The sequence below is a fragment of the Homo sapiens genome, chromosome X (assembly GCF_000001405.40).
Source record: "Homo sapiens chromosome X, GRCh38.p14 Primary Assembly".
NCBI lineage: Eukaryota > Metazoa > Chordata > Mammalia > Primates > Hominidae > Homo > Homo sapiens.
The window spans coordinates 71,948,145-71,960,636 of record NC_000023.11 but is presented as its reverse complement, the minus strand read 5'-3'; the positions used below and the strand labels follow the sequence as shown (position 1 = coordinate 71,960,636).

General features: G+C 45.5%; 1 protein-coding gene across 8 annotated transcripts in view, besides 3 other annotated features; it reads right to left on the bottom strand.

Annotated features, from left to right (window-relative positions):
* NHSL2 (NHS like 2) overlaps positions 1 to 12,492 on the bottom strand; it is a 242,442-nt gene that overhangs the window by 192,650 nt on the left and 37,300 nt on the right. The window lies entirely within an intron of this gene.
* Positions 2,147 to 2,708: an enhancer, noted in NCBI's record as "OCT4-NANOG-H3K27ac-H3K4me1 hESC enhancer chrX:71177779-71178340 (GRCh37/hg19 assembly coordinates)". NCBI's record gives its function as "activates a minimal SCP1, AML or CMV promoter by ChIP-STARR-seq in naive and primed H9 embryonic stem cells {active_cell/tissue: H9 hESC(naive and primed)}" and the evidence as "EXISTENCE:reporter gene assay evidence [ECO:0000049][PMID:30033119]".
* Positions 2,709 to 3,270: an enhancer, noted in NCBI's record as "OCT4-NANOG-H3K27ac-H3K4me1 hESC enhancer chrX:71177217-71177778 (GRCh37/hg19 assembly coordinates)". NCBI's record gives its function as "activates a minimal SCP1, AML or CMV promoter by ChIP-STARR-seq in naive H9 embryonic stem cells {active_cell/tissue: H9 hESC(naive)}" and the evidence as "EXISTENCE:reporter gene assay evidence [ECO:0000049][PMID:30033119]".
* Positions 3,271 to 3,833: an enhancer, noted in NCBI's record as "NANOG-H3K27ac-H3K4me1 hESC enhancer chrX:71176654-71177216 (GRCh37/hg19 assembly coordinates)". NCBI's record gives its function as "activates a minimal SCP1, AML or CMV promoter by ChIP-STARR-seq in naive H9 embryonic stem cells {active_cell/tissue: H9 hESC(naive)}" and the evidence as "EXISTENCE:reporter gene assay evidence [ECO:0000049][PMID:30033119]".

Below are 12,492 nucleotides of genomic sequence, written 5' to 3'. Positions count from 1 at the left end.
CAGTCTCTTCAACAAATGGTGCTGGGACAACTGGATAGCCACATGCAAAAGGATAAAGTTGGATTCCTACCCTAATAAAAGAGAAATGGATCAAAGACCAAAACGTAAGAACTAAACCAATAAATTTCTTAGAAGAAAATATAGGAGTCAATCATCATGATCTTGGATTTGGCAATGCTTTCTTAGATATAATACCAAAAGCATAAGCAACAAAAGAAGTAAAAAGCATAAGCAACAAAAGAAATACATAGTAGCTATAAATTTGACTTCATAAAAATTAAAAACTTTTGAGCATTAGTAGATAATATCAAGAGAGTGAAAGGACAACTCAGAATGGGAGAAAATATTTGTAAATCAGATATCTGATAAGGGCCTAGTATCCAGAATATATCAAGAATAATTATAACTCAACAATAAAAAGACAAATCACCCAATTACAAATGGGCAAAGGATTTGAAAAGATATTTCTCCAAAGAAAATATACAAAGTGCCAACTAACACATCAAAAGATGTTTAACATCATGAGTCATTAAGGAAATGCAAATTAAAAGTATAATGAGATACCACTTCACACTCACTGGGATGGTTATAAGCAAGACAACATTGCAGAACAAGTATTGATGAGGATGTGGAGAGATGGTATAGCCACTTTGGAAAACAGTCTGGCAGTTCCTCAAAAGGTTAAACATAGAGTTAGCATATGACCCAGAAATTCCACTCCTAGGCTCCGCAAAAATACTTGTCAATGTAAAGGTCTATCAACTGATGAATGGGTAAACAAAACATGGTATATCCATATAATTGAATATCTTTCCACAAAAAAAAGAGAATGATATATTGATACATCTTACAACATGGATAAATCTCAAAAAACCGTATGTTAAGTAAAAGAAGCTATTTTAAAAAGAAGACATATAATATCGTTTATATGAAATGTCCAGAGTAGGTAAATCTCTAGAGACAAAAAGTAGATTAGACGTTTCCTAGTACTGGGGAGTGGAGGAGTAAGAGAGGCTGAGGGATTGGGGGGTCACAGCTTGAGGGTACAATATTGATTTGGGGGTTTGAAGCTGAAAATCTTTAAAATTGATTGTAGTGATGATTGCACAATTCTTTAAATATAATAAAAACCATTAAATTGTACACTTTAAATGGGTGAACTTTGTGGTATTTAAATTACATCTTTTTTAAAAAGCTGTTAAAATACTTTAATTAAAACCAGACTAATTTTTGGTATAAATCTGTTTCAGAAATATACTAGTAAGACTCTTACTGTTGTATACATTAACAAATATTCATACGATAAATTTGTTCAGGATAAGTGGTCCCTCTCTGGGGGCTGCCTTTGGCTGACATCAACCTTAAAGAGGTGAACAGAGCCGACAGGCTGTGGCTGCATCGCTGTAGCACCCTGGGCAGGCAAGAGCCAGATGAGTGGGGGCTCCATCTCCATCCTCTTTCCTATCCTCTGGAGACTTCTAGACCCCTCCATACTGGAATTGAAGCCCTGAGTTTTCTTTTCCACCCTTGATCAACTTATTCTTCATGGTGGCACAAGGAGAATAGGTTGCCTAACTGGTAGCTGCCTAACTCTCGCATTTCCCCTTTTTTCTCCTTTGTTCAGTCCCTGGATCGTTTGCAACTAATTTGTAACTGCCAGCCTTCAGACTGTACAGCTGAGGTCACTTGCAGTTAGGAGTCCTGATATCCAATTTCACCTTCCTATCTGCATCCTTGGCAGTTGCTTAACTTCTCTGGCCCTCAGTTTCCTCATCTGTAAAGTGAAAATAATAATTCCAACTTATAAAATTGTTTTGAAGATTCAATGAGATAATATATTTGAAAATATCTGCTGAAATGAATCCAATATCTTGTCCCATGTCCAGTGAAACCATTCAGTTTACCAGTTAACAGCAACCAACTGCCTCTGGACAGAAATTAGGAAACAAAGAGGCAGAGAGAAGAGAAAGGGCTGGATTATATGCCCAGGCTCATGCCTATGTATAGCACACCCAGGAATGTCGCTACCCAATTCCCCACTGTGTAGTTTTGGGGCAGCCCAATGAACAATCTCATGCAAAATAATGTGCCCTCCCCCTCCCCCAACTCGTCCCCACTGCTGCTCAGCAATGGTCTATCTGAGCCACATGAATGATGGATGAAGTGAGCCAGAAACTATTGTTCCCTGCATGGCCTTCTCCCAGAGTTGAGGACCTTTATTGTTCCCAGATAAGAGCTGAGCTGGGAAGAAAGGCTTTCATGAGGAAATGTCTGCAAGGCCACCAGGACTGGCTCTCACTTCTGGTTTGGGCTAGCTAGCCCATGAGCCAGCAAGCAGCCCAGCTAAGTCCATTTGGCCACTTGTAGGGGGTCTCAAATCAAGGCATGGTGGGATGGAGGTTGAAAACACGCAGTTATAGTGAGGCTCTAGGACTATCACTGATTTGCAGTTCTCTGTGCTCTCTGAGGATATACTAAGGGAGACTTCTGGCCCTAAGTCTGCTGCTGGGGCCTGGAATGCAGCCTGCCTTGACTCCCCACCCCCACCACACAAACATTCCTGAGCCACTGTAGAAACCCCGTCCCTATTCAAAACCAGCTCGAATGTCACCTCAAGCAGGAAGTTTTCTCTAGAGTCCCTTCCCCCCACCATTGCCAGATGTGAGCGTCCCTCCTCCAAGCTCTTTGAGCAATTGGCTGTTCATCTCCCAAGGCATTTATCACATTCTGTCGTGTGTAACAGTTATTTATGTGCTTGTCTTATCCCTCTTTCTCTGCTACAGTCAGGGATGGAGGCCAATTCATCGTTGTACCCCCTACAGTGCTTGACATGGAGTTAGAGTTCATTCAGTCAGTCAGCAGATATTTACTGAGCACCTACTCTGGGTACTTCCTGAGTACTCAGGGAGTAAACACCCTGGGTCTGCTCAGAACCCTGCTACCACCACAAATTCCCCATGGAGGCACTCTTTCCTACCTTACGCTGAGGCACAGTAGGCCGACTGGGGGTCTGAAAAAAAGGGCAGGGAAAGTAACTGGCCCCCCTCCCTTCCTCCAGGGAGTTATAAAAGATGCAGCTGTTGTGGCTCACACCTGTAATCCCAGCACTTTGGGAGGCCAAGTCAGGCGGATCACGAGGTCAGGAGATCGAGACCATCCTGGCTAACACGGTGAAACCCCATCTCTACTAAAAATACAAAAAATTAGCTGAGCACGGTGGTGGGCACCTGTAGTCCCAGCTACTCAGGAGGCTGAGGCAGGAGAATGGCGTGAACCCGGGAGGCGGAGCTCGCAGTGAGCCGAGATCGTGCCACTGCACTGTTGGGGCACGTGCTCACACCATAATGACTGTGTGCAACTCAGCTCAGCCCAGCACTGCCCCAACCCCAGCCCATAACAGGTCCCCTTGGGGGATTGTACCCCAGGGCAAACATGAGGCAAAGTGCCAGGTAGAGGTCCCTCCTAATCCCAAGATTTCTATCCTGTCCTGCTGACCTTGTGTTCCCGCCATGGGGTTTACTGAACATTTGTCCGTACCTGGTACTAGGAGGCTGAATACAATGAATTACATGCCCAGAGAGCGTCTGCTTTCTGGAAACCTCCAGTCTAAGAAAACTTAAGACTCCTGTTCTGTGGCCTGATTTGGTCTGATTTAGGAGGGCAGGGGAGCCTCCTCTCTTGCCTCCTTACCTACCAGAGATCTGAGGAGGTGAACTATGGTCCCCAGATTAAACCAGGAGGAAAGTAGAACTATCTGTTGGATGCAAGGACCCTTAGTCATGACAGCAACATGGAACTAGGCCTGTATTCTTGGGAATGGAGTGTGGGGCAGTGCAAAGAACATTAGATTAGGAGTCACTGCTGGATTTGCATCCCAGCTCAGTTACGTGTTGGCTGTGTAACTTTGAGCCGATCTTCTCTTCTTTCTTAGCCTGTTTTCTCATCTGTAAAATGTAGTTAATAATCCACCCAGAACCCTCAGAACCCGACATCACTCTGACCATCAGCCATGACCCTGCCAGAATGTAACTTGGGGGCATGAGAAAGCAAAGTAGATTACACTTCTTTTATGTTTTTTAAAAATTGCTGTTTAGAAAGGTTGTATCATAGAAAGGTCCTGTCACTCAGACTGACAGGAAACCTTAGCAATTTTTTTGTCCAACTATCCCATTTTATTGATGGACAAACTGAGGCTCACAGAGGGTTAAGTTGGACTCAGGTCCCCAAGGCCACTGCTCCTGATAGTTTTCTAACATAAGAATAACCCATCAACAATAAAACCATGTTCTTCCCTTACTTAGGCTATGAAGAAAGATTAAAGGTGATCAATAAGGGGAAACTTTTAGGGGTGATGGAAATATTCATTATCTTGATTGTAGTAATGGTTTCACAGGTGCATACATATGATCAAACTCATCAACCTGTATACTTCAAATATGTGCCATTTAGTGAATGCCAATTTTACCTCAATAATGTAAAAGAAGAGCGGGGTGGGGAGAACCCAAATGTTGAGCAGGGTCTGAGTCTAATGTGGCCTCCAAGTAGCTTTGTTGTTCAAAATCAGCAGTTGTTCCACCCTGTTTCATGGATGCACCACAAGCAGCTTCCTTAGAAGCTGTCACATATGGGGCCTCCCAGGAGCTTCTCTCTGCCTCTGAGTTGCTACAGAGCGTGAGGCCCACGAGGCAAGTTCCTCAGGCTGTCCTGCTCTTTGGCTCATCCATGTGGTACTCCAGGGCGAGCCAGGGAGAGGCGAAGGACTAACTTTCTGACTTCCTTCTCCCTAAGGATTCATGGGAAACATGTGGTCAGAATTGAATGAAAACTAAAAAAAAAAAAAAGTCAATTTAAGTCATTCGAAAGCTTCCCATCACTTCCCTCTACAGCCATCCTACCCTCCCCACCCCATCCTCTGTCATTTTCCCTCCTCTCACAGCTCCCAGAGGAGACATACATGGACTCAGATGAGCTTCCAGGTCAAAGAATTGACTTTGTTTTTTGCCTCCCCAGTTCAATAAGTGCTTTTTGAGACGTGTGGGCTAGGCCTAGTGGGAAACAAAGATGCCTAAGCACTTCTCTGCCCTCCACATAAACTCCCGGCCTTGAAGACAGAATAGGCAAACTTGGACACAAATAACTCTCGTGCTGGGCAAAAAGTGATGCATACCACCAAGAACCACCAAGTGCTACAGCACTGCACAAAGAGAGAGTGATCACTCTCTCCAGGGAATCAGGGGAGACTTCACGGGGGAGGTGCCATTGAGCTGAGCCCTAAAGGATGGGTCATTTTCCTTTACCAATACAAAACAGCATTTGGATGGTGTTTCACATTTTACTAAGGGTTTTTCATAGCATTCAATCTCATCACAACCATTTGACAAGGTAAGTGGGCTACACCATCAGGCACATTCGAGAGAGAAGGAAACTGAAGCACATAGAAGATGAGGCTGGTAGGCATGCCACTCTCTCCGGCGCTTCGGATGTGAGCTCGTTCCTACTTCACGAAGTTGCTTAATAGGCAGAGGTGGGAGGAACAAGGAGGCCAGAAAGCCAGGAGCGTTTAGGGCATGGTGGGTATTCTGGCCACCAGGAAAGTGAGGATTGTATAAGGAAGTGGTGGGTCACAAGACTGGAAAGGCTGCTTGAGACCAGCTTGTTTGTAGCTTGCAATGCCAGGCAAGGGCCTGAATATTTATCATTTATCAGCTATGTTTTAGGGGAATAGGGTTAAGATCAGTGTTTGGAAAGGAAGTGGGGACAAAAGCAGTGGTATACATGAGGGTTGCCTTTGCTTCTGCTTTAGGCCCCTAACAAAACAAAGGACACTAGGGTAACCCTGGTCCCCCTCTTCAGCCATGAGTAGATTTCCAGAGAAGGCACATGGTGACACTTATTCAGGTTAAATAACAAAAGCCATTTCCTTCTGAGCAGCTTGCTTTTCAGCTCCCATGGAAGGGCAGCAGGGTCAGGGCGCAGAAGGCAATGGGAGAGTGTAGAAGATAAAGGGAGAGCCAGGAAGGGAAGTGAGGCTCCAGGCCACATCCTGACAGCCAACTGGGCCCAGCCCGAGGCCCTCCAGAGATGCTCTGGCCAGTTTCTCACTAGGGCAAAATCAGCTTTAATCAATCTGTTTTCCCCTTGAGCTCATTGTTGTTGCAGGCAAAAGAGAAAGCCCCTGTGTTGAGACCTTTTGCTAGTTGTCCAAACAGCAGCGCAGCAGCACACGCCAGGCAGAAAAGAGCAAGCCCCCACAGAGGCAGTGCACAGTGCATGAGAGTCAGGAAACCGGGGGCAAGTCCTCCTGGCTTCTGCCCCTTCCTTGCTGTGTGATGGTGGGCAAGTTACTGAGCTTCTCTGAGCTCAGTTTCCTCAGATGTCAAATGACACCTACTGGGCTGGTTTGAGAATTCAGCCAGAATTCAAACAAATAGAAGGCCTAGTGTAGCTCCTGGCTCATGTAGTGCCTGGCTCAGGGACTAGATAAACGCCAGATGCCTCAGTCCCTTCCTAGCATGCCAGGGACAGCCCCCCAGGGAATGCCTGTAACATAATGGAGCAAGGAGTAGTTTTATAAGCAGAAGTCAAGCTTAGTGCAGATTTCTTCAGTGCAAAAAATGTTTATGAATGCTTCCCATGTAATGCTTCTGGAAAATATGTGCTGGGAGAGTGAGGAGCAAAACGAGAAAAGATTTGAAAAATCCTCTTTCTCGAAGGTGCAGGCTGGGGATAGAAGGTAAACTATTGAGCTGAAGAGATTCTTCTGAAGAAGAGTAATCTGAGGTTTAGGCACACCATTTCTGCCTTGAATTTCAGCAAGGAAAGCATTACAGGAAGCTAATGAAGAAATAAAATATGGTCAATGGCCCCTTTATCTGTGCTCACAGAGGAGCCTATTAGTAGAACTATTCAAAGGGGAGAGAAAATTATATTCTAGGCTTTCCTTGCTCTCACCAGAGAGCATCAGAGATCCAGAAAGGGAAAGATCCCTGGAACCCAAAGTTGGTAATTCTTTCACACAGTCCTCCTGGCAACTGTCTCTTAAAAGGTTATTTTTAGAGAGGCAAGTCACTCTAAGGAAGTATGTCCCAATCTTCAGTCACTTGGGGGCTACCTTCACAATTTTTGTCACATCCACATACCCCCTTAACTATTATTTAGTTAATTTTTTTTCAATTTCTTACTCTTTTACTTAAAAAATCTGTGACTCATTGATGTAAATGGAAAACCACTACCACATGACTTAAATAGAAGGAAACTACGAAAGTAAACACATTGCTATTAAAAACATAATACTAATTCGTGTCCCATCCAAAAGCACGAGATGGACTCCCACTCTCTGGGGGACACAGGTCTACCTTGGGAAGCCAGCTCTAGAAAACAAGACCATTTGCCTTGAGGATGTATACAGGGAGGCACAGCTACTTCCCAAACAGGGATCCAGGTTTAGAGCCAGAGGGCCCAAATGAACAGCTAATTTGGAATATGGTCTCTTCTGGTCTTATCCTGGAAACTTCTCCTAGACAGTGGAGAGTTAGATGGCACCCACTCCCCAGAGACAGGCTGGGAGCTGGGCCAGAAGGACGTCAGGCAAGGGACCAGCCACGATGCCCTGGCTCTTGGTGGTTCAGACTGCATTCACTGTTGGACCCAAAACTTACACTCAGGAAACCTGCCTATTTAATATGCTGTTCATTGTAATTTTTGCAATGATTTCCTCCTTGCTGTCCTGTAGTATTTGACAAATTTCCTGATGAGAATGCAAGATATCTCAGGAGTCCAAAGGAGAAGAATGTGGATCTGGTCCCCAGGTGGGTTAACCCAGGCCACCTGGTATAGTGTGGACAGTGGGGATCAGGGAGAGGACCCCAACAGGAAGGTGAAACTGAAGACACGTGTCTGCTATGCTCTGAACATTGGTAGCCCCCCAAAATTCGTATGTTGGAACCCAATACCCAATGTGATAGTATTAAGAGGTGAGGCCTTTAGGAGATGATTAGGTCATGAGGGCTCAGCTCTCATGAATGGGATTAGTACCCTTATAGAAGAAGCTTGAGGGAAGGGAGCCTGTTTACCCCTTCTCCCACATGAGGACACGTAGAAGGTGCTATCTATGAGGAACAGGTACTCATCAGACACCAAATTTGCTGGCGCCTTATCTTGGACTTTCCAGCCTCCAGATCTGTGAAAAATAAGTTTCTATTCATTATAAATTACCTAGTCTATGGCATTTTGTTATAGCTGCCCAAGCTGACTAAGACAGCATCCCTTCTCCAACTGTAAACACTCCTACTGTAATGCTAAGAACTTGGAGGGGCTTCCTTTTTGTTCTTACTTTTGTTTTCCATGAGGTTCACTGGCTCTTTACACTCACTAAGAGATCAATCAGTAAAGGAAATCCCTAGATAGCATTTTTAGTGACAAATCCAGGCATTTTGACACTTGCCCTCTCATAGCTACATTTTCTATACTTCAACCCATATTGGAGAATAGGCAAGTTTCTAAGAAGGCATAGAACTGCTTGATAGACAGACAAAATAGGGTGTTTTTGGTTTTGTTTTTGCATAGAAGGAGGACCAGATTCACTTACTCTTTTGACCAGATAATGGGTTCAGAGAAATCTGTCACCTCCTTCCTTTTCCCCTCTTCTCCATTCCCTGAATCTTTTCCTCTTCAGGATGGCTGGCTGGCTATCACAGCAGGGTGGGACTATAAGGGTTAAATACAACAGAAAACAGAGAATCGAAGAAATCTTAGGGCTTATGGAAAGCCAAGTCTACAGTGAGGGGCAGAGAGTATAGAGAAGCCACAGGGCTGACTGGCTGTAAGGTTGCAGCCTTCAAAGCATGTGGAGAGTCCAGAGGTAACTGCACAACAAAGCATTCTTTAAGTAAAGGTCATTCTAACCTATAAAACAATGGCCATATCCAGTGTCCAAGAGTGTTTGGAAAACAAGACTAAATGCGCAGTTTCATCAACAGGTCAAAAACTTACATGCCTGCCACATGAAAAGAGGCTCAACATCACTAGTCATTAGGGAAATGCAAAGCAAAACCACAAGATACCACCTTGCACCCAATAGGCTGGACATTACCAGAAACACAAGAAATAACAAATGTTGGTTAGGATGCAGAGAAATTGGGCCCTTATGCATTGTTGATGGGAATGCAAAATGGTGCAGCCAGTAGGGAAAACAGTATGGCAGTTCCTGAAAAAATTAAACACAGGATTACCATATAATCCAGCAATTCTACCTCTGGATATATATCCAGAAGAATTGAAAGCAGGGACTTGGCTGATTCTCCTCAACCTATTTCTTATAGCAAAGCTTTATGTTAGCTTTATGTCTAAAATCTTAGGGAGAACAAATTAGTTTGCCTGGCCTGTCAGTGCAGGTAAGACTTGGACACATAAACACAGAGACACCAATCACTATATCAAGTACTGATAATCCAAATATATTTAGACACACAGAGTTGGAGATTGTCAATTTGCAAATAAAATTTGACACCATACCTGTAACTGTGAGATGGCAAACACACAAATGAAAACTGAAAAGGTTCTATCCACTATTTTTTTTCAACATGATGCCAGGTATTTGTGTGTGTGTGTGTGTGTGTGTGTGTGTGTGTGTATTTTGTATTTTGGGGTCCAAATATGTGGCATTGGAATGTTGAGCATTATAGAAGATTAATTGTTGAAGTCTTTGAATGCCAAGCCCGGGAGTTTGGACTTAACTCTAATGCTTCTGTCAAAATGAGCATTAACCTTTCTCCCCATCACAGCTACAGGCTGCTACTCAATGTCAGGATATACCAGAAATCAGTAGGGTGTGACTGACACCCACCCACAGAAATGGCTAGTTGGTTCAGTGTGAGAATGATAAACAGAGCTGTCTAAGTCCAGCCACAGGGATGGGGAGAGTTTACAAGCCATAAGAAAGACCCACCATGTCACAAGTGGGAGCAGAGCCATGGCATAGATGCCCGGCCCTTGGGCAGCTTGTAAGGCATATGCCATTCTTGGGCACTTATAGCAGCAGGAATCCCTGGGGTCATAAAGGCACAAGGGCTTCTCCCTGAAACAGCCACAATACTCTGCTGCTGAAGCAAACTCCAGCTAGAACTGGGGCAAAAAGTCCAGCTCTCCTCCCATTATTAACCATCCTCCCAATCCTCCACCCTCAGGCTCACTCTGCTTTTTTTCCAGTCCCAGTGCACCAGCAGGCAAAATACCATGGCAACCTGCCCTAAACAGGGAGCGAGGGATGCCTGCCGAGTATTGTTGGCCAGGCTTAGGTCTTTGGGCTGGGCATTGGGACTGTTACTTCCACTCCTTAGCCTTGCCTTCTGCCCTGCCCTCATGGGCTTTCTCTTTTTCTGGAAGTTATCCTTTGCCTCTTGCCTGGGCCAGATGGACAGCTCGGCAGGCACCTGGCGTATGCCCCTGGCTGGACAAACTTATGGCTGCACCCACTGGCCAAAGGATTCCAGGTGGAAAAAAAAATACTCTGATGGATGGAGCAGAGGTCTGGAGAAAACCAAGAAATGGATAATCCAGACCCACCACTTGGAATGCGAAAGCGCATGCTCAGGTGGTCATACTCTCTGCCCCAGCGGATGGGTCTGGCGCTCCCAGCCGCCAGGGGCCTCCTGCTGCCAACCGTGTGGTCTGGGGAATCCAGAGGTCATACAGCTGGCCAGGGGGAAGTGCTTCCCCCACCACAACCTCAGGCCAGCCCTGTGGCATTCTGGAGAAAGGAACCAGCCTCTACCCCACTGCCACTCCTTGTGTGTGGCTTGGTATGTGGAAGGCAGAGGGGGGATTTCGAGTTTCCGATGAGCCTGTATGTTTGCGCTGTGGGCTCTGTGCTTTCCCACACACAGAGCTGAGTGATTCCTGCTTTACTGAAGCTGCCAGAGTAGGAGAGGAGGTGGAGGATAGGCAAAGTCAGACGGGGAGTTGGGGGTTTGATGCAGAGTGTGGCAGCAATTGCCTGGACGGACCGCAAGGCACCCCTTTGGGCTGTGGTGGGGGAGCTCAGTGGCTGTCCAATGCAGTGACCTGGACTTTTTCATCCCCGTGTGTGAGCCAGGCGGGTCTGGGACAAATCGGCTCACTCCCCGACCCTAACACTCCACAGGGAAGCTCAGAGGTGCTCACCTGCTGGGTGGCGGCCCAGACTTCACAGATTTCTAGAGGTTGTCTGGACTCATCCTGGCCCAGCTCTCCAGCTTGTGTCTTTCCCACCCTTTGTTGCTGAATGTTCTCCTATTCACCCTTCTTAACTCTCCTCAGGCCCCCTTGCCTTCAGGAAGCCCACCTCAAATGCCTTCTCACCCACGCCCAGCCCAGGTTCCTCTCTATCAGCCCCTCTATGCTACTTTTCTTGTTGGGGGATCTGGCATAGCTGTGCCAACATTTTATTTGATCAAGTAAGAGCATTTTTTAATTTTAAAAACTGCCATATACTAAAACCAAGATGTCATAAACAACAAAATGATGTTTTAACATCAAACAATTGGAATGACAATTTTAGAATTTAAAAAACTGAACAAATTTGGCTTCATAAAAACTACATCGGCCGGGCACGGTGGCTCATGCTTGTAATCCCAGCACTTTGAGAGGCCGAGGTGGGAGGACTACTTGAGCTCAGGAATTTGAGACCAGCCTGGGCAACATGGCGAAACCCCATCTCTACAAAAAAAAAGTACAAAAATTAGTGGCCATGATCATGCCACTGCACTTCAGCCTGTGTGACAGAGAACTTGTCTCAAAAAAAAAAAAACAAAACTACATTTTTTTTTTTTTTGACAGAGTCTTGCTGTGTCGCCCAGGCTGGAGTGCAGTGGCATGATCTCGGCTCACTGCAACCTCCACCTCCCAGGTTCAAGCGATTCTTCTGCCTCAGCCTCCCGAGTAGCTGGGACTACAGGTGCGTGCCTCCATGCCCGACTAATTTTTGTAGTTTTAGTACAGACGGGGTTTCACCATATTGGTCAGGCTGGTCTCGAACTTCTGACCTCGTGATCCACCCACCTCGGCCTCCCAAAGTGCTGGGATTACAGGCGTGAGCCACCGTGCCTGGCCTACATCATCATTTTTTAATTCAGAAGAGTAAAAACTTTACGAAGGATGAGTGCTGATTTGCATTTGGGAACTGCAGACCTAGATGATAATTGGATAACTAAAAGCCTAGCTTAGAGCGCATGTGATGCACCCCACACACTAATTTGGGCAGCACTTGGAGTTTACCAAACCACTTGCACATGCTCACAACCCCTGGGATATAGGTGTCATTATTCCCATTTTACACATGAAGAAACTGAGGCTCAGAAAAATGAAATAGCTTGCCCAAAGCCACACAGGCCAAGACTGCAAATCCTGGGCTTATTTGCCTGCCTGGGCCAAACTGCCTCAACACAACAGTGTCAGCAATTCAATTCAACCGGTATTTATTGAGCACAGACTCCATGTTCTTCTTCTTTTTAGGTG